The sequence below is a fragment of the Homo sapiens genome, chromosome 18 (assembly GCF_000001405.40).
Source record: "Homo sapiens chromosome 18, GRCh38.p14 Primary Assembly".
Lineage (NCBI taxonomy): Eukaryota > Metazoa > Chordata > Mammalia > Primates > Hominidae > Homo > Homo sapiens.
In genome coordinates, this window is record NC_000018.10 from 5501148 (window position 1) to 5524149 (window position 23002).

The 23002-nt window shown below is 40.8% G+C and overlaps 1 protein-coding gene across 41 annotated transcripts in view; it reads right to left on the minus strand.

The window, feature by feature from the left end:
* EPB41L3 (erythrocyte membrane protein band 4.1 like 3) overlaps positions 1 to 23002 on the minus strand; it is a 238278-nt gene that overhangs the window by 108762 nt on the left and 106514 nt on the right. For 3 of the 41 annotated variants that reach the window (NM_001384688.1, NM_001384690.1, NM_001384684.1), the window contains exon 1: positions 20111 to 20232. The exons of the other annotated variants lie outside the window; for them this stretch is intronic. The gene's annotated coding sequence lies outside the window, so the exon portion shown is untranslated. Of the gene's footprint in view, positions 1 to 20110; positions 20233 to 23002 lie in introns of those variants that run through there. 41 annotated transcript variants of the gene reach the window in all.

Consider the following 23002-nt stretch of genomic DNA (forward strand, 5'->3'; position numbering starts at 1 on the left):
ATTCTATCGCTACAGAAAAGAAATAAAATACATAGAAAAATTCCAGGTATTCTATTATTGTTTCTATTTAATACTTATAAAATCCTACCAAGTAACCATTATCAGCAGACTGGGGGTCATTAAGTATTTAAATGAATGAATGAATGAATGAATGAATGAATGTATCAGCTTCATTTAACCTAAATGTGTCCTAAGTCACAAGTCTACAAATGATATCTTGGGAAATGGGATCTAATTCAATCTGACCCCTAAAGCCCCTTGGCTGTTTTATGGTATACTGCACTAAACAGAAACGAACACCAATTAATAGCTTTCAACTCTCCCTCATATAGAATATGCTAAACTTGATCAGTTACCCACTCCTTTCGATCTCAACATTTTCTAGGCCATTTCTGTAGCCCAAAGCCAAATTAATGGAATTTGGTTTTCCCCACAGTTCTATATCATTGACTTTGTTGCCCCACAATTAATTAACTAAGTGTTCACAATAGAATTTATCACAATTCTTACAGAGGGAGGAAATGGAGGACTCTTCTGGCATTCTTGGAGAGTCTGACAGACTGTTGGCATTTTTTTTCATCCTTCAATACAAATGTGAGGCCAAGTGTTTAATTATTCTGTTTTTACTGTAATGCATCCACTTTTATCTCTTCACCAGCAATGGATGGAGACTATAAAGAATGTTCTTTCAAAGGTCTCCCTGGCACACAAATGAGTCGCCTGAAAGCAGTGCCTCATCAAGTTCTCTGAAGGTGCTGATGAGAGGATTCCTTACTCCAGGGCTGTTCACTGTGGGCCTGTAGCACTGAAAGGGCTCCCCATTTATGCCTCAAATACTCTGTTATGAAAGCGTTAAGAGACAGCTGGCTCAGTCGCCATCTTCCCTCCTGCCTCCTGCCTCCTGCCTCCTGCCTCCTGCCTCTGAGGTGGCTCAGCAGATAAAAGGACGGCCCTGTGGTTGGGGCTGCCTTCTGATATTCTGACTACGGGAGTTGAATGTCCCACACAATGGACAAAAGTGACAGAACAGCTACAGGTGTGATGTTCCATTTTAAATTCTTTGTCTCCATTGGGCAACAAAGCCAATAAATAGCTCTTTCAATTTTTGAATCCACATATTTCCAGTTCAAAGGAGACTAACTCAGAAATAAATTTGGAAAAAAAAAAAACCTGAAAGGCTGAAATGCAGTTCATCTTTTAAAATTTTTTATAGGTTCTTTGTGTCTAGGTATTTTTCTAAGGTTTAATCACAGCAAACCCTGCTTCACTTTGTATATTGATAATTTTTTTAACTACTGTAGTTTTCACAATGAAATTAGTTTTAAATCCTTTAGCTCGTCTATTTAAAATGAACACAAAGTAAATCTGTCTAAGTGGAAGCTTTATATGTGGTTAAGTAAAGAAGCCACACTGATGCCTTATTTTAAACTCTTCTGTTCAGAGGGTTCCTCAAACATGCATGGAACCAGGTCCAGAAGAGGAGAAGCTGAAAAGGAGGGGTGCCGCTCGAAGCGAAACAGAGACTGGGAAGAGTGGACAACATTGGTCCCAACACATTTTCCCAGGGAGCTCTGTCTGTCCTGGAAAGTGTCACAAGTTTGGGGCTAGATGAGAGCTTCCTGGGCCCCCACTTGAGTTTCTGACCTAAAATAGGAAAAAATGAGGATACAGAGGAAGACAGATCAAACTATTCCCTGAGAAAGGGAGGTAGTTCTTTTGGAGGGAAGAGGTGAGCCACCATCAGACGCCAGACAGCTGGAGAGGGTAACACTAGCTACTAACCCTGGCGAGGCTGCAGATCAAGCCCACGGTTTTCCACATCCAGACCCACCATGAAAAGAGAGACTTAAGTGATAAGTCAAAATGTCAAAGAGTGATCACCTCTGGATGGTTGACTCACTTTTTTAGATTTTCTACAAAAGTACTATTTTTATGATTAGGAGAAATCAAACCAAGAAAGTATTTCTTCTTAGAGATGAATAGTAGTCAAATTATATTTATCACTTTTTTTAAAATACTCTTTTGGCTAGGTGGCCATTCTACTGTCTTAACTTAGTTTTTTATAGAAAAAGTTAATTATAATATAATTTAATACATCTGAAATACACCTAACTATTCATCCTACATTAACGTAACTGGATGCCACTATTTAGCAAATGGAGCAAATCAGTGAAGAATTAAGGTCTGCAGAGGATGAAACTCAGACCACTTGGAGCAGGAGCATCCGGAGTGCCCGAAAAAAACATGTTAAGTGCAGGTGTACAGAATCTCCACAGCACACATGCCTGGGTTCCACGTCCACCAATTCAAACAGTGTCTCTGATGGAAGGCTCCAGGCACAGGTCATTTTTAAAAGCTACTGTAGGATTCTAAAATGCAGCCTGGAATGAGAGTGGTGAGATCGCATTATCTGCACTTTTAATAAGCACACAGGTGATTCTTCCACAAACTAAAGTTTGCCAACCACTGGCCCCTCTCCACCTCAAAGCTACTGAATAGCTGCATTTGAAGACAGAAATGACAAGTAGAAAACAAAAGACCATTCCCTAGTCAAGGCTATCAATTCGTGCATATTTTGATTACTATGACAAAGTTGGTACAGCAATTTTAATGCTTTCTGTGTTTCATAGATGGATATGCCATTTTGTTTTTCTGGTTTATTTGGAAGGTATATGCTGACTACACTCTTGAATTTTAAGATCTTAAGGTTAATAAGATGCACTACTCATTTCAAGCTATATTTCACAATGGAGATATTTTTCCATCTCAGTCATGCTCAATCTCTCTTGAGAAGAATATTAGGTAATCATATGTGGTAAGGATATTCTCCACCTATATTAGTAATGATTATTGCTGAAAACATCTTATTTCCTCTTCTTTCCAAAGAAGTGCCTCCCTTTAATTGGAATAGGCTTGCCATTGAGGAGAATAGGAGAGAAAAAGAGAGAAGCCTGCACAGGAAAGGGGGAACAATAGAACTTTGCTAATGATAATTCCCAGCTACCTTCAGTTTCAGCCTTAGTGACAACTCCAATCTGGACACCTATCCAGACCTTACCCAGGACTTTCAGTTCAACTCCACAAAACCTTGCTGAACACTCACCCTGAGTTGGGGTCTTGGTCATCTAACAGATTTTTTTTTTAATTTTTTCCCCAGGTAATTTCTAGAACCTGAGAAATTTTATTTTAGATCAAATCTCTTATATACTCAATCCTGAATGTCAAGAAAATCTGTCCAATTATCTTCTCATAATATCTTCACTGTATTCTTTTCTTTTCACCCAGACAGCCCTGTTGAGCTTTTCAGAGTCACACAGGAGTGGGACCGGCAGTGAGTCCAAAGGGATTTCAAGGGCCATTCACCAAATTCAGTCTATGATATACTTTAGCACAACTAGGGACTAGGAACCCAGCATTTTTACAGCTTGAGAAACACTGGTTGGAAAAAGAGTATAAAAGAGTAACCAAATAGGGCCACAGATGAGCATCTGCTCTATTGTTTTCTACTGGCATTCCTCTCCAGCTGGGTCCTGGCAGCTGTGGAATCGACAAGCTATTTCTTTCTAAGAAATGAAGTATTTTCAGTTGTCCCCCATCACTGACTTCTCCTTCATACAACAGTAAAGGCAACCACAGGTGTCCTCCGCTACTCCTGATTCCCAAGCCTCATCTTCATCCTCACCACACGAGCTTCAACAGTCATGAATGACCCAATGACCTGCAGTGCTCCAGGTGCTGAGTGAGCTTCTAAGTCTCCAGTGCCCTTGAACGTGCTGTGCTGCTTCTGTGTTTAGAAGCCCCCAGTCCACCCATTTCCCCAAGCACTCCTTAACCCTATACTTCAAAGCTCGCTCCAACACCACCTTCACTCAGCAGTCTTGCCCAAGTTCCCTCTGCCCCATGAAACGGTCTCCTCCATCCAGTGCAGGCATATGTATCCCTATGACCATGCATCTGTCATTCTGCCACCAGACCTAAGAGTCTTAAGGACAAGTGCGGGATTTTCTTTTCTGTTGACTAAAAGTCTACATCAAACCTATGATGTCCAAAAGTGAACACTTGAAGTTTCTCCCCAAACCAGGGCATCCCTGAGTCTTCCAGAACAGTCAATCAATCCATCCTCCCAGAGTCTGACGCCAAAGAAAATACAAACCAACAAAAACATCAAGAAGTAACTTTTCCTCATGCACCACATGGTCCTTCAGCAAATCCTGTGGCTCTACCTTCAGAATATCTCCAGAATGTGATCATCTCATCACCTCCACGCTTTCGCCTCTGTCCCCCTTCACCAGACCTCCACCTAAACCCCTGCCTCCCCACACCTACATCTCCTCCTCTGCCCTCCACACCTTCATCTCCACCCCTACCCTCCACACTTTCACCTCCACCCCTACCCTCCACACCTTCAGCTCTTACCCTCCCCACCATACCTTCACCTCCACCCCTACTCTCCACACCTTCACCTCCACCTCTATGGTCCACACCTTCACCTCCACCCCTACCATCCACACCTTCACCTCCACCCCTACTCTCCACTCCTTCACCTCCACCCCTTCCCTCCACACCTTCACCTCCACCCCTACCATCCACACCTTCACCTCCACCCCTTCCCTCCACACCTTCACCTCCACCCCTTCCCTCCACACCTTCACCTCCACCCCTTCCCTCTACACCTTCACCTCCACCCCTTCCCTCCACACCTTCACCTCCACCCCTACCTTCCACACCTTCACCTCCACCCCTACCCTCCACACCTTCACCTCCATCCCCACCCTCCACACCTTCACCTCTTACCCTCCCTACCATACCTTCATCTCCACCCCTTCTCTGCATACCTTCACTTCCAACACTACTAGCCGTAACTTCACCTCCACCCCTCCCTGCCACACCCTCACCTCTGCCCCAGCCTACCCCGCCACATTACTTCCACCACTAGCCATCACGCCTTCTCCTCGCCTACCACCTCACCATCCAGTAACTGCTTGCCCAGTTACTCCAGTGTACCTCCCAACTGGTCTCCCTACCTCTGCACTCTCTGTACTGTGTTTTTCACACAACAGCCAGGTTGATCCTTTTACAATATAAATAAAAACATGTCACGTCTTGGCTCAAAATCCTCCAATGACTCTGCATTTCCCTTAGAGTAAGCTCCACTGTCTGGATACGCTGGCCTGAAAGAGCGCTACTCCAACGCCCTCATCATCTACTTCTGTTCCCTTCTCAGCGTCCTCCCCACCACTCCTCCCACCCGAGGCCTCTACATTTGCTATTCTTGCCTGGAACATATGTCTTCCTTGGCTTATTCACCCACTGTGTTCAAGTCTTTGCTCAGATTCTCCTTCTCAGCGAGGCCTTCCCTGTCTACCCCTCCTGGCTCTGTCCCCGTTTCCTGCCCCCTTTTCTCCCTAATACCCATCACTAGTCCAATACGCTACCTACTTCAGCTGCTTACTTTGGTTTTTACTGTCTCCTCCCATCAGAGGCTCTAAGCCCCAGGAAGTGGGGGATTTTTAGTTATCATATCCCCTCTGTTGTATCCCAGGCATCTAGAATAGTGCATGGCATGTAGTGGGTGCTCAAAGAGTATCTGCTGAATGTATGAACTCAGCTTTGGGATTCCAGGCCCTTAAATCCTAAGTGTCAGGCACTTAGCAGGTCCTCATTAGATTATGTTTGCTGAATGAGGGCACCCAACTGCTATATCCTTAAAAAGATAGTTTTAAGTTGTGCTTTGTATTATAGGTAATTTCTGGGCAAAATGACACTATGATAAACAAACTTACTGAAATTATTAGAATCATTTTTTATAAGGACAGTCCAACCTAGTGAAAAGTGCATAGTCACTGATGTCAGACAGACATGGGCTAGAATTCTAGCCCTACTACCTATTAAGTGTGCGTGTAAAATGAAACAGGCAAACATGTCTTTATTATTCAGAAAAGCACTTTGGAGAATGACCCATCCATCCTAAATCCTGACCCTAATGTTCCTTATTTTATCTTCCTTATGAATGAGGGTCTGCTATAGGCAGACTTCTGCTTGTCTTAAAACTAAAGAGAACACATTAAAACACACACACAAACACAAACACACACACATACAGAGCAATCAATCGATATTTAAAACACGGATGTTATATCCAGGAAGCATAATATAAACTACCTAGTTTATAATTAGCAGTAAGCAACTTGATATGAGCCTTGTCTTTTTCAAAAAGGATTAACAATAAAAGCCAAAAACACATTAAGATATTCAGACATTAATAAATGCCATTTATTAATCACTGTTGCCAATTGGTATCAGTCACCAATCTCCTACAAAAGTGATGACATCTAACAGATTATGTTCAGAGTTAGCTGTGTCCCCTACCAACTGTGTGAATTTGAGTAAGTTACGTAAACTCTCTAAAAATCAATTTGTTTCAGTTGAAAAATGTAGATAAAATACCTAACCTTAACATTGTTGACTACATAGCATTAATATAGCACAACACACATTGGAGACATTCAATAAATGGGCCATCTTTTTTAAACCAGTAGAGCTATTCCTTTTGATACTATCTCCTGGCTAGAATTTATTCCAGTATTAAAAAAAGAAAATGAACAGCTTGTTAAAATCAAATGATGATTTGGACCAAGTTCCTTAAAACTTATGAAATATTACCTCCTCCTTTAGAGCTTTCTAGGCCTTAAGATCACGAGTGCTAATAAAATCATAATGAATAAACCAAATTAAGGAACAGGTTGAACTCTCTCCTTGCCACTCTGTCAGAAAAATAACAGTAGCATCTATCACTTTTGTGCACTTGTCATTTCCAGTAACGTGCTTACATGAACTCCACTGAAAATCTGAGCTTGGGAGATAATTACTTACCCCAGGACTTTCTCAGGAGGGAGATAAGGGACAAGGAGTTCAGACAAAGGTTATGGGGGACAGTGATGCCCTTGGTTAGCCAGAAAGACAATGAAAATAAATTTTCTGGGCATCAAGGAACTACAAGTATAAAATAATAATTACCAGAGCAACTTCTTATCTGATACTATAAATACTTTGTCTTCTTCATTTAGCTTCTAAACGGCATGATAAAACAATAACAAAAAATCTTCTTTACTTTCCAAGCTGTGTTTTCCCCTGGTGATGGGGACAAAAGGGAATGATTTACTATTAGTATAATTTTTATATTAACACTGTACAACCCAAAAGAAGACATATTTTCCACTGAACTATCTCTGTCTAATGCCAAAACTTTTGCAAAGTATTCCTGTCCTATTTTCCAAACACATTTACTCATTCCTTATCACCATGTATCTGCTTCTTATGTATAAGAATCTAGTAAGAGGCTGGACACGGTGGTTCATGCCTGTAATTCCAGTGCTTTGGGAGGCCGAGGTGGGTGGATCACAAGGTCAGGAGATCGAGACCATCCTGGCCAACATGGTGAAACCCCGTCTCTACTAAAAATACAAAAAATTAGCCGGGCATGGAGGCAGGCATCTGTAATCCCAGCTACTCAGGAGGCTGAGGCAGGAGAATCACTTGAACCTGGGAGGTGGAGGTTGCAGTGAGCCGAGATAGCACCACTGCACTCCAGCCTGGGCAAGAGAGCGAGACTCCATCTCAAAAAAAAAAAAAAAAAAAAAAGAATCTAGTAAGAATACCAGCTATTTGATGTGTCCATTACTTAAGTCTGGTAGCAACACCCAGGCCAGTTAAGCACAGATTATACATAAACATTTTAAAAGGCAGCAAACTCTGCTTAATTGTGAGAACAAAGACAATCTTTAGAGATTTCTAATCAATGCCATCTGCCTGGGAGTGCTGAGCAGTCTCTCATGGAAGTGTTACAAGACCAACGCAGCAGAGGCCAGCTTCAGAGGCCAGTAGGGAAAACACCCTTGAAGGTAATAAAGCCAACAGTTTTCATCATCGGACACTGGCATAATGCTGAGAAATTGTTCATAAACATTCAAACTGGTTTGGTCTTGCCTAAGAAGATGTTTTTAACAGAAAAGAGCTCCTTTCAGGATTTCTGAGAAGAGAAAATAAACCAAAGAACACAAGGTGGCCAGCCCCCATGGCAGAGGAGGGCTCAGGACCTCACCTGGCCCAAACAACACCCTCTCAACCTTGGAGGTGAGTATTCATTTTCTTGAGTTGGAGAATTGCATCTTAAAGGACCACACTAAGGTGTCCATTCCTGGGGAACACCAACTAGCTCATCAGAGGTGTCAGCGGCTGCCTATGGGTAGCAAGGTCCTGAGAGAATAGAGTTAAACGTGGTAGGAAGAATAAAAGGTTTGCAATTTAAATGGGAGTAAAAACATTAATCTTCCTATTTCACGGTTTGGTACTTTAGAATCACACTAATCTAAAAGGAATCGAAGGAGATCAAAAGGTAAGTCAGCTAGCCCCAAACTGCATCTGCTCAAACCAAAGGCACTGGCTTCACACAAAGAAACCGTGAAATCAGAGTCAAATTGTTCTGCTTACCTTTGCCAAATCACCTTAAGTAAATTCCTACCAATAGGGTATATGTTGTTTTTGCTACCATTCTGCTTTGTTTGGGTGTATAATTTTCTTTATAATCATTCACTCATTGAATCTATCATTCAGTAGTATGCATATACTATGTGCTAGGTCCCAAGGATAGGAAAATAGGAGACTTTGTTATCTTGTTTGCAATTTTACTACTTTTGATCTTTACCACTGAACAAGTTACACATGACAATCATTAAAATAGCTAAACACATGCAAATGAGTGACTTACAACTAACCACCAAACTAGAGCCAGGTTGGGAAGAACCCATACTCCTAGAACACACACTCACCCCATATTACAGATGCAGTAATTTAATATGGAGATCAGGGAAAGCTGGTATTGCAGAATTAGTTTAACACTTGAGGGCTCGTACCTCTGAGAAAGAGCTTTTCATTTGAAGAAAGATGTTAATGGGATATGACTTTGTACGTACTGTGATTTTGTTATAAAACTAGTATCAATGACTCAGGCAACACCTGCATCTGAAGGATTTCTGGTCTGCTAATAGGCCCATGACATGTAGTCCAGGGAGGGACACAGTTTGACTCACTACACTTAGTAATGGGAAGTCTGCATGATGAGTGAGCCAGGAAGTCCCAACTTTCTTCCCTAAGGACCCTGGTATAGCATCATCCCTTACATAAAACCAAGCCCCATCCCCAGGCAGCTGTAGATCCCCAATCTGGGCTGGAGTATGGTAGGTGGAGCCACGTAACATTTACCTAATAGCCCTATGATCTCAGCTGAGATAAAAAAACAAACGTGTAGGAGACTGACAGGCAGGGCTGGGTAATTGTTTTCAAAATCATTTAGCATCCTGAATGCACAATCTGAAAAATCAGAACAAACCAGTAGTTCAGCAGTGAAGGTCAGTGGGGTATGTATGGGAACCACAAATGTGTGGCTTTATTTCTGGACTATCAGTTCCATTCCAGTGGTCTATATATTATCCTGCGCCGCATTCTTGGAACGTCTGCGGCACTGTGTAGCCACTGCCCAGCCTGACCATGGGCTCTTCCTCAGCAGAGAGCAGCAGTTTTTAGCTTTCTATCCTAATGCCTAGCACATAGTTCGCATATTTCTTCAGCATATATTCAATGAATAATCTAGTTGTTTTATTTTAAAGTATACCCCATCACCCTCAAATTTTATCTGGTAAAATCATTAAGTCTACATCAATATTTTTACCTTAAAAGCTAGCTCTATCTGCCTACTTATTTAGGAGAGGAATAAAGGAGGAATAAAAATTCATTGTAGGCAATCAGTTAAAAAAACAAAAGAGGAGACTTTGAAATAACTACACGGTACCTGTGTACTGTCCCTTTATTCAAGTGGGAAATAACTGAGCTCCTCAACCAGTGGGTATTCCAGAAACTCTGGAATACCTGTTATGCAGTGAAAGAGCAAAGAACAAAGTCATTTGTTTGACCTAAGACCTTCATTCTCAATTAACCAGAGGCAGACAACAGATTATCATCCACAGGCCTCCCACTTCTTCCTGCCTGCAGTGAAATTCTGGTCAGTTTGATCTGCCTGAGACTTCCAGCACCGAGACAGGAGGAAAAAACAAAGTACATGAAATTAAAGTGAATTAATTTGATTTCTCTCCAATATCTCCCTTGAAAAATTGACTTGAAGAAGCAAGCAGAGATGGTTAAAGGTCCCAAGTCTCACCCTTTCTTTAATAGCTGTGGAGGTATTTTGGTTTTTTTTTTTTTTTTTTTTTTTTTTTTTTTGTATGTAGACCCAATTTTCCCTTAAGGGCAAAGGATCAAAACTTGGGTTCTCCCTTCTTTGGCCCAGATTGGTTTTTTCATAATAAGTCTAACAAAATCAACATGATTTTTGGTCAAATATTGAATCCATATTTCACAATACCAAACTGAAGCTTTTTAGGGTCTCTTATTTTTTACATTTACCATATAAAATGTTAATTTAAGAGTAATTTTCAGAGAGGTGATCCCCAGTGCTTAGTTCCTCAATACTGCAACCTTCCAGACGCATACAGACAGAGAGGTGATCCCCAGTGCTTAGTTCCTCAATACTGCAACCTTCCAGACGCATACAGACAGAGAGGTGATCCCCAGTGCTTAGTTCCTCAATACTGCAACCTTCCAGACGCATACAGACAGAGATGTGTGCCAGAGACAGGGATGAAAACAAAATTCAGAGAACCACCTGGATGGAGATTAAGAATGCACAAAAATTAAGCTGGTACAGATTCGCAGTTTCAAAAGGCTTCCAGAGTAAAGTAATATTTGAGAATAACTACTTCAAAATCGCTTTCAATAAGACAAGGAGATCAGGTAGCATTAGAATTTTCTTTCTGGTCAAGTTCAGCAATGTAAGAAAACAGGTATGGATTTGGAAGAAGAATCAGAGGACAATTAGACTGGATCAGACCACCCAGCTGCTTGTTCCTGTAATGAACACAGCACAGTATGCTAATGCTGGGGACATAATGATGAACAAAAAAGACATGGATATAAATTCCCATCCTCAAAAACCTTATAATTTAGAGAAAACACACCCAAGTAAACAGTTCTAAGACAGCTGAGAAATGCCATTAAAAAGGCCTGGATGCTACAGGACATAGAGAACTGGATGCTAGAAGACATAGAGAATGGGCACTCAACCTTGACTGGGGAGATCAGGGTTTCCTTCCAAGAGAAAGTGAAATCTGATATCCAAAGAATACAGCAAGGTGAAGAAAGAGTGTCTTTGTTTGGGTGGGGGCTGGTGATGGTAAGACAGGAGGCTCAAGAGGTCACGAGCGATCTGACCGCAAAGGGAACTCATCAATGCACATTAGGAGCAATGGAGAACGAGTTCAAGATTTTCAGGGTGAGCACAATAAAGGTAGATTGGTGTTTCAGACACACCACACTGGCTAGAGAATGGAGAATGGATTAGGGAACAGACCTGAGGTCAAAAGTAAATAAAGGAGGACCATTGAGGAATGCGTTTTGATGACCCAGCAGAAAGAAGATGAGGGGTTGAATAATTATAATATCCTAGAAATGGAGAGGAGTTTTGGAAGGCAGGGAGGATGGGGAGCTTTAGCCCTCCCCAGTAGCTCCATTAGTTCCAGCTCCTACCATAAGGTACCCTAAAATCATCATTATCATCGTCAAAATTTCAAGTGGCTGGCTCTGCAAACGTAGACTTAGGATAAATCCTCTAGTTCCCTACTTCCCAACAGCCTACCTAGCTAAGCCCTGCCTATATGTAAATGCTGGATCCACCACTAAAGAAGCATCAGTAAGCAGTTTCTGCAGAGATTAGAATCCATAGAATATAGCAGGATGAGGAAAACAGCATGCATGAGGGTGCTTGGGCATCTGGTGGATGGTATGTTCGATCCCTGTGGTTAGGGAATGCAGCTGCAGTCGTTTGTCATTCTCTCTCCCAAGTTTTTCTGATTCTCCTCTTTCCAGGCACATAGTAGGATCACACTTCCTTATCAGCCTGGGTCCCTCCATTATTCCTATGAGTAAAAGCTTCTTGCCAAACAACAGTGCACACATAGCTCATGCAAGAAGTGAATTTGCTCTTTGAAGCCTCAGAGATTTGAGCGTTGCTACAGCAGCGTAACCTAACCTACGCTAATCAACTGAGCTGGAGAGGACCACAAATCTACTATGTAGAGAAAAGAGAAAGCCAGTTATGTTTGTGCCAAATTTGAAGTACCTAGAAAAAAGGAAAGGGTAGGATAGCAAGGTTAAAGAGAAGGTGACAGTGCAGAAAATGGAAAGACTTTTCTCTCATTTACACACTCATGGAGCATCTCCTCTGTGACTAGGCCAGGAAACTGTGCACACTGTCCATTGGTCTTCGCCTATTATAGAGACACAGTAAAACCTAGAGGGTAAGAGTCTATCTCCTACAGTCACACTACTTGGGCTCAACTGACTCCACAATGAATTAGCTGGGTAACTTTGGGTAAGTAACTTAACTTTTCTGAGCCTTGGCTTAGTTAAGTGGTGATATTAATCATATCAGCAAAATGGGGATAGTTAACATTCCTTTCTCACCAGCTTATGAGGATTTAGTAAGAAAATTCACATAATTTATACAGGATCTGGCATATCTTAAGTACTCAGACATTAGCCCCTACTTATTTATATTTCAGATTACAAAACCCAGGATATACAGAATATTGTCTCTTATAGTCATTATGGCTCATCCAGGACAGAAAATCAAGATAATTTTAATGTATGTCCTACCAGAAGTCTGATGATAAAATATGATATAGCAAAGCCAAAGCTGCATTCTAAAACTTGAAGTCCATGTCAATTAAAAAAGTAATAATGACTTTGGTCATGTTACTACAGAGGCCAAAGCATAATTATAAGGTTACAAAAGTGGAAGAAAATGAGGATTTTCCCCAGTATGTCTTGTGTATTAAATTACAACTGTGAACAGCAACATAGCTGACATCAACCCTTATGCAGTGATTACTTCAGTATGAAACACTTGTTCCTCCTTCCTGCCCTAACTTAATTGAAACAGAACACTAGAGCAGCTGTTAATATAGCATAGTCCTCACCACTGATTATAGTGCAAAGTTCATCTTCCCTTCACAGGATAAAGCAATGCAAAACGTTAAGTTCATATATGTTTTTATATGTGATGCCAATCACAAATGGCACAAAATGTTCTCCAACATTTTATATGTAATTTAAAACCATAACCAAAATAAGACATCACATTGCATAAGTGGTAAAAATACAGGTTATATGACTGGATTGCTCTTGGAATATACTTTCTTCCTCTATTTGTACATAAATATTATAATCCACCAGCAAATAATTATTTCCAAAGTAGTTTTCTCCTTTTTACAAGACAAGTCCACAAACACCACCTTACGCACATTGGATACTAAATGTGTGTATCTGCTTTATTTTTATCAAGAAATGTCAAAACATTAATGAAAGTTACAGAGAAACAATATATTTTCAAATGAACCTCTTATGAAAAATGCTAAGTCTCAGAAATGTATTCACTTAGAGGAATCATTATCGCTTCCTTGGTATTACTTGGATGCTGGAGGTTTAAAAAAAATAGACGAAATGTTTCTCACTCCATATGTTTCTGACAAGAAGGTGGGATTTCCTTGGCCCTAGAATCCATTAGTGCTGACAGGGTACAGCTGCACCCATAATATTCTCTTTTTCCAAATTACAGGTATATAATGTTTATTTCCCAAGCTATCTTTAAATCAACATATGCTGAATAGTCAAATATTTTTAAAACACAATTCTGACCTATAAAATAAATGTGTGTTCTCCCTTGCAGAGCTTTTTGAGCCAACACTGTATCAGTGACTGGCCATCTATCTATTATTACTAACAGTAAGTGGGGTGCTTTTCACAAGTGTCTAAAACCAACATATGCTGGAGAGGACATTTTATTTTTATTCTATATGCACTTTGGCTCCTTGGTGCCCACAGCAAACAGCTGTCACTTACCGCAAGCCTTTCCTAACACTTTCTGTAATTCCTAAGGGGCTTCCCAGTCTATAATTAGACTCTCCAGCTGCCACCATGTACACTGCGGGGTGCTACTGAGAGTTTTTTTGCTTTGTAGCATTCCCTAAAAAGTCTTCTTCAAGATGGTGTTGCTGAAATAACATTGTTTGGTATTCAGCTTGGGTAGCAAATATGAATTCTTCAACCATTTGCTATGAACAAGTCTGTTCCACAAGTAAGGTTTGCTTTGAAATGAACTCTGCATCAGTCATATGGGAAAGGAATTGAGTCTAAGCATAAAAAACAGGGAAGTAGAAAGCAATACTAGAAACTTCCTGATTCAGAATTGCAGAGAACATCAGTATTGAACCAGTTACAACAACTCTCTTGGTCTTTTACATAATTCTTCTTCCCAGGCACCATCACCAGGATTAACTGAAATAGCACAGCAAAAAGGAAGTAAGAAAGAACAGGCAAAAATCTCCCCCTCCTGTCTCAAAATCCTTAAGGTCAACAATGCCAGAAAAGATAGCGTGAAAGTGAAACACAGTTGTAAGTCAAAAAATAAGAGGAAGCAGCAAGCTTTAAATTGGAGTAACTCTTTAAAACAAAATGAAGTCTGATTTTTAGAAAATGAAAACATTTTCAAAACACAGAGCACTATCCACCACCCCTCTCATTCCAGCCTAGGTGTTCACAGGAAGCAAATGCACAGAAATAGGTTTTTCTCAATAGAGGAGGACCTGCTGCAATGGGAGAGGGAAGCCTGTGCACACAGATCCTCCTCACTCAACCTCAGGAAGTCATCATTTCCCTGACTATAAAAGCTGCTAATATAATGAACCAAACGCAAGTAAGTGCCCATAGAAAGTTAGACATGCTAACAGCTGATAGCCGATGTGGAGTCCTTAGGGTAGAAAGATAGTTTTACCAACAAAAGCCCAGGTGCCGCAGATGCCCTTGATCCAAGCACCACATCCAGAGCCCCAAGTCCAGGGGCAGATACTCCCGAAACTCACACCTCATTTCCACTACGGATGTGCTCCTCCTGGGTGGTTGACACCTGGCCATTACTAGGAACTTTCCAAGGGCTCATCTAATTGGCAGGATTTAAAAATGCCCAGCTTAGACAAAAGCAAGGGGACGCTCATTATTTATCTCGATTATAGGGATTCTTGTTCTCCTTACGTGCTATTTCCCAGTGAGAGGATTTCTTAACCCAGAAACCAAATGGTTAAGGAGAGAGTAATACTCATACTGGTTCCTGACATTATCAGTTGTTCTCCAAGTGAATTTCCCAGTAAGCTGAAGTCTGTTCCTTCCAGTAGAAAAAGGGGCTTTAAAACCATCTTTAATGGACAGTGTTTGTAACACTATCACGTCCGCTGAAGGCAAAAATGTTAACCACTGTGAACTTCCAGCATTTCCTTTTTCCACAGCCACAGCTATATGACTGTCGTGGATATCAGCTGGTATGAATACAGGGAATGTAAATTCATTGCAGGATTGGCCTAAGCAAAATAATTAACAAGACAGACTTGGTTTTTTTAACCCAGCAGTTAAAATATATACATTTAGCCCACTATATATTTGTATTAGCAGAGATCACTAACAGTTGATAACTGCACACAAAATCTGCTGATCAGAACAGTTAAAACCAGAGTATGGAAAGGCCTCAATTTGCCAGTTAATTATATTCCAAAACATTACTTGTAAAATGGTTGCATGCCAAAAATTCCATTTTCCACAGAAATTGTATTATAAATCACAGTTAAGTTTCAAAGATTGTCTATAAAGTCTTAAGCCAGATTGCAAGTCAACAATATCTTAGTCGAGTCTCACAGATGCATGTGAATGTTCTTCCTAAACCCAGCAGGGATTAGCTGTCAGGGAGGAGGACTAGGTGCTGCTCTGAGGGCAGAGCAACATCGTCTTGTCGGTTCTGTTCATGCGTCTATCACTGAACGTTTCAAGCAGTCTCTGGCACATAGGAGGCACTCAATATTTGTCAATGGATGAATGAACAAATCAGAGGATGCAGCAACCGCAAACCTGAGAGTCTGACAGGGTGAGGGATCAGAAGGGTCCCATTAAAGTTAATTCTGATTGTTAGACTGAAAAGGTCTCCCGCTTACGTTCCTGGAGCCTGCCCCAGGACACCTCCACAGAAGAAACAATGTCAAGTTTTCTGGGTATCTCCCCAGAAATGTTCTAATCATATTCCAGCACAAATATGTATACAACCCCTCCCCTTAAAAAATAAATAAAAAGGACATTTATTATGTTTTTTTCTTTTTGAGATGGAGTCTCACTCTGTTACCCAGGCTGGAATGCAGTGGCATGATCTTGGCTCACGGCAACCTCTGCCTTCCAGGTTCAAGCGATTCTCCACCTCAGCTTTCCGAGTAGCTGGGACTACAGGCATGAACCAGTGCACCTGGCTAACCTTTTTGTATTTATAGTAGAGACAGGGTTTCACCACGTTGGCCAGGCTAGTCTCGAACTCCTGACCTCAAGCAATCTTCCTCCCTCGACCTCCCAAAGTGTTGAGATTATAGGTGTGAGCCACTGCACCTGGCCAGGAAGCATCTTATCCACAGAGTTCCACTTGATGTTTTCCCATCAGCAGCATGTGGCCGGGTCATCCCTCCCTCCCCGCCACCACCAGACGCTTTTCTCCCTTAGGATTCCAGCACCAGCTCCTGGCTTTCCTCCTCCCCCACTGACCACCACTCTGGTCTGTGGACACTGGAGGACCACAGGGCTTGGTCCTTGGAACTCTTCTATACCTATGCTCAGTCTTTGAAGAGCTTAACTGGCGTCCTGGCTCTAGATATTGTCACCAGCATCCCTTAGCTAGATGACATAATGGGCTCCTAAGGGGTCTCCCTGCTCCGTCTCCTCTCTCCATCCCCACAAGGTCTATTTATTCCTTACTCATCCTATAGAGCTCCTCTCTTAATTTAAGGTCAGGTCAGGGGATGCACACATCAGGCCCCCTCAGGGAGACCATGGCCTTTCAAGGGTCCACACGGCCCTGCCACCCATGGCCCCGTTTCTTCTGGATCCTCGCCACCTCCAACCCTCCCTCTCTCTGCTCCAACCACACTGGCTTCCCTGCCACTCCCACCCTAGAGCCTCGCACTGTAATATTCTTCCTCAGACCGCCACCCACCTCCCACCCCGTGTACTCCCTCACACGCCCTTCAGGACAGTGTTCAAATGCACCTCTCTCCAAAGCTTGCCCTAACTACTCCCTAAAATCCTCTCACCCTTCCTGATCCTTGCCCCACTTCATTCTGCCCCATAACTCCTGTCTGATCTCCTCTGTGCTGTATTCACGTCTTGATTATTTTCTGTTTCTCGCCTGTGCAATAGAAGCTCCAGAACAGCAGGGGTTTGTATCTGCTTGCTTCTCTTCCATCTTCAGTCCTAGAAGAATGCCTGGGACTTAACCACAGGCAATCAGAAAGTCTTTGTTGAATAAACAAATGAAAGAATAATGTATTTTATACTATTTCTTAACAGTTTACTAGATGGCTAAAATGACCTCCTTGTATTCAGCACAGGACTGGGTGTCCACCGTGGGATGTAGAGATTGGTGAGGTCAGTCCCCTCCTGACAGGCACACAGGGCCCCCAGACTCTCGCTGCTTAAGAATGGGACCGCAATGAACATCCTTTTACATGGACAAGTATTTGCAGATAAAAAGGAGTACGCAAATTAAAAGATTTGGGCTTTTTCTTTTGATACAAATCTCTCAAACGTAACAGGAGTAAACAGGAGCTCACTAAAAAGTGTCTGAATCCGTCTGTTTGGCAAATTAACAGTCAATCTGCTCGGCAAAGACGTCATCTCAGATCGTGTGTCAAGTGACATCCCAGGGTGAATTATTATGATGAAATTACAGGACTGATAAGACAGAAAAACTGCAGGGAAAATGACTCATCCTAAGCTTTCAGGAGAAGAAAACGACGAGTGAAACAACAACAAATCTTCAATAGCTGTTTTTTGTGAAGGCGTGCATCACACTTGTAGCAAAAACTGTCCTTGTTGCCGGGTACTGCATGTATCCCTGTTCATGGGTACAGAGAAGACGCCCCTGCGTGTGCTCAGGAAGGCTGTCAAACTGCTAATCTTACAGGAGAGTATGGGAAACCCATCGCGACTATACTCCTTGTCCTTCAGTGCTGTCCCTCTACACATCTTGGACCTCAGTTACTCCCCAGTCTATCCGGATTGCTTCCTATTTTTCTCCTTGTCCAAAATTCTCAAAGAAAATAGTCACTCAGTTATCACCAAGACCCAAGAATCACTCTACCACAACCAGTCAAGTGCCAAAGATCTGTTTAGAGCAGAAGTTGGTGCCTTTCAAACTGCTGAACTCCTTTTTCAAAAGAGGATGCAAATCCATTGGCTGTGTACCCCAGCCCAGGAGTCCCTAAGGGGCACTGCAGAGCTACATGTGGAGGGATGCCTCTTCTGGCATTTTCTCACCGAGTGACTACAGAGCCTCTGCCAGAGGGGACCGGGACAAATCTTGCTTTCAACCGCTACATAATCACTGATCCACCCAGCGTGCAGGACAGTCTTTGTTTTTCCTTAGAAAGGATATATTTCTCTTTCCTACATTTGCGGATTTAGCTGAGTAGTTACTGATAACTTTTCCTCTAGTAGTTATCCCACAGATTTACACTGTTCAGTTTTCAAGGAAATCACTAGAATGACGAATATCCTTATCTGCACAGCACTGTACAAATGTTGGCTAGGACAACTCAAACCTAAAATGTCTGCAGGCATTAAAGCAGCAACTGATTCTCAGGAATGGAACTGTTTTGCTTTTTGACGCAACCCAAGGAGCTTGTCCATGGTTCTCTGCTACACTTCCAGGGACTTCGTAATAAAAGCAATATACAGTAATCGACAACAATTTCGAGTTTCAAAGATGTCAAATGAGAGATGCCCCAAAAAGAAATATGCTTCAAATCAAGGAGAAAATAATCAAGGCCAAATAAACTAGGTCACCAGATTTATTTCTGAGCTGTATAAGTTGGACATGTTTCTGAGTCATAGTGTATTAATCTAGAAGAGACAATCAAGCTGCCTGCTTCATTTTAGAGAAGGGACCAGAGCTAGGGTAGTTAAGCACCTCCCCTGTGATTTAAAATGTTCTGGCTAGAAAATAACAAAGTATAATAATATATTTTCCATATGAGGATCTAATAATAAAACAAGTAGCAAAACCTTGAACCAGCTTTTCACTATGTTACACAGAGTAACACTCTTAGTAACAATCTATTATTTGGGAGAACACAAATAGAAAATGCTGCACTAATTAATTTTGGTCTTTTTCCTTCCAAGTTGTATCACCCATGCTCGCCTCCCCTACTTTCCCAAAATAAAAAAAAAAAAAAAAAAGGATGAGGCTAGGGCTTCTATTCAGGACTTACAAAAGGCAGACAATGAAAACAAAACATAAAAATAAAAAGGGGCAACCACAAAAAAATTAAAACATGTCATAAACTCCTGCTATCATGAGGGGATCATTAAATCAGCAGAACAGAGGCACTGCCAGGGAGACCTCAACTCCCACCCACAAGGCCCATGGCCTTAGGCAGGCCTCTGGTCACCCTGAACTTCCATTTTATTACTTGTAAATGGAAGCACTGAATAAGATAACTTCCAAAGGGCCTTTCAGTTTTAATACAAGAAACCTTTAAGAATGCATAATTTGCCTTCTGAGTAAATATTTGCCAAAACATAAACTCAGTATAGGTGGCATAAAAAACAAACGCAGAAAGAGATGTGCTCCATAACCCACACACCACTCCTTAGGCAGAAGATAAAATATTATGAATAATTATCAATATTAACTGAAATCCTTGTCCCTGGTCAAAACAATGCATAAAATGGTTCCTAAATGCTTCAGGATTTTAACTACACAGAGAACCATCTGTAAGCCACAGTCCCATTTTATTATTCAAACAGAAGCATTTTCAATAACTAGTCTGGTATAGAAACTACATGACAATGATTTGCTTTGTAAGCATTTTATCTACATTGTTAGCTAACTCTGAATATACGTCATTAAGGCACTCACCTGAGCACACACAAAAAAAGGATCCTATCTAGGATTCACTTCAGTTTTTCTTGGGTGAATGGCGCATGCCTAGTAATGTCCACTGGAAGATTACAGTTCAGGTCCAGAGTAGGCTAACATTCAGCTCATCAAGTTAACCCCCAACATTATCTAGCTTAGTACCAAATGCCAGGAATTTGTCAGGGTCACGTGTGTCACTGATACTCAATCATTTATTAAAGAAACAGCACCACGATGAGCATGGCTGGCTAAACAGTGAGGATATCATAAGAAATGCTTGAAATTTAGAATGAGTACAGTATTTGTATTGACAAAATGGCTTTGGAATGAGACAGTCTCAGGTTCAAATTCCAACCTGCATTTACTCTCCATATGTTGTTGGACAAATCATTTAACTCCTCAAACTTTAGTTCCCTCCTCTATAAACTGAGGAGACAATATCTACCTAACACAGATGTTACAGGCTTAGAGATAACAAAAGATCCCACTAGAATATAAGTTCTACATGGGCAGGGATTTTCTGGGATTTTTGCTCACTGCTAGATAGAAAAGTGCCTGGCATATAATAGGTGTTCAAGAAACATTTGATGAATAAGTGAATAAATGTAAAATGACTAACTCAGTGGGCACTTGAAATATTATTGAAATTCACTTGGTCATAAAATATTGATAATCTCAACACTAGCCATAATAAAAACCTTAATTATACAGTTAAAATTTTAACTTGTAGCAATAATGCAATTAAAAACTATCAACACACCTCAAAACGATGTTTACAACAAGCAAAAGGGTTATCTTTAGAACAGACATGTATTTTCTTCCAATGCCAAATCGTTATTTATTTATTTATTTATTTATTTTTTAGAGCTGGAGTCTCACTCTGTTGCCCAGGTTGGAGTGCAGTGATGCAATCTCGGTTCACTGCAACCTCCGCCTCCCAGGTTCAAGCAATTCTTCTGCCTCAGCCTCCCGAGTAGCTGGGATTACAGGCACCCGCCACCATGCTCAGCTAAATTTTTTTGTTTGTTTGTTTGTTTTGTATTTTTAGTAGAGATGGAGTTTCACCATGCTGGCCAGGCTGGTCTCAAGCTCCTGACCTCAAGTGATCTGCCTGTCTCGGCCTCCCAAAGTACTGGGATTACAGATGTGAGCCGCTAAGCCTGGCCGCCAAATCTATTTTTAAACTTCCATGATAGTCATCATAATAAAGTCAATCTGTATCTATAGAATAAATTGTGATCTAAATGAAAAATGTTATTTGTCATATAAGGCATCCCAATAGAGTATCTCTTACAGCCTGTAGAAATTTCATCTTTTTCTACTCAGCTTAAAAATATACAAATACAGGCATTAGTCTTCATGCCATAAAATTTCATGAGAGTTGAAAGCCTTCAGAGAACACACTGAATGTTTTTGACCAATGTCTACATTTAAGGAGTTGAAAAAAATGAATAACTGAAGTTGCTCTTGGAAGCCATTCTGGTTGAGGGCAAATCTTAAACAATGAAAAATGATAAACCAAAGCAACAGATACAAAATAACAGACAAGTTTTTAATTGTACTACAATGCAGCTTACTGCTAGGTAGAAAAGTGCCTGGCATATGATAGGTGCTCAAGAAATATTTGATGAATAAGTGAATAAACGGAAAATGATATTACTTTTATTGCTAAAATTTTTTTTTTGCAACATGGCTGCAATACTAGTTAAAAGTGACTGAGCTGGTATTATATGTAGAGAGTACATAAAAAATATTTTAGCAATGAAAATAATTCAAGGACCTAGTATCAAACGCATCACAAGTTTAGCAAACAGGGATATGCAAAATGACTAATTCCCATTAAAATCTCCCATTAGAACAGACATACATGCAGTAAGCATCACACAAGGGCCACAAAGTCCCTGAAAACAGTGATTTCCAGATTTCACAGATTGGTAGGACAGAATTATTGAACATCAAATGATGCTAGACATGGCTACTCAAATCATCCATAATGGTTTCTGAATAGAAGCTTTTCAAGAGTGGGCCCCTTCCAATTCTTTTGTTTCCCCAAGTCTTCCTTTGTTTCTTTTCTTCTTCAAACTAGCTTAAATTGGGCTTCTGTCAATTGAAACAATAAACCAACACTCCAAATTAGAAACATTAATACTATAAATCTGATATAAAAATTTACATACAATCTTGTTGAAAAATAAAATTTAATTTTTCCTCATTTGAAGTTTTAAAATATACCCAACTTAAAAAATTTTAATATCTATTGGTCTGGTATGGTGGCTCACGCCTGTTATCCCAGGACTTTGGGAAACCAAAGCGGGCGGATCACCTGAGGTCAGGAGTGATCAACATGGAGAAACCCCATCTCTACTAAAAATACAAAATTAGCCAGGCATGGTGGCACATACCTGTAATCCCAGCTACCTGGGAGGCTGAGGCAGGAGAATCACTTGAACCATAGAGACGGAGGATGTGGTGAACCGAGATTGCACCACTGCACTCCAGCCTGGGCAATAAGAGTAAAACTCTGTTTAAAAAAAAAATTAACACCTACTGGTATACACTTGTTTTTGAGAACTGTCCAAGATCATGTCCTTTCTACTTGTTTTAAAAACCTTTTTTAAAAAAAAATTCCAAAAGTAATAGATCTCTATATATAATGCTCTACAAGTAGATATTTAAATGACTATATATATATGATTTCTATGAATATTTCTATGTATGTGTTTATATATACATATATATGTGTGTGTATATATGTGTGTGTTAGGGGTGCCCTACAAATAATAATTCATTTAATTCTCACAACAAACCTTTGACGTGGGTACTATTATTATTCCCAACTGAATAAATAGAGGCACAGAGATGTTATTTAACTTTTCTCTGGTCATACAGAGT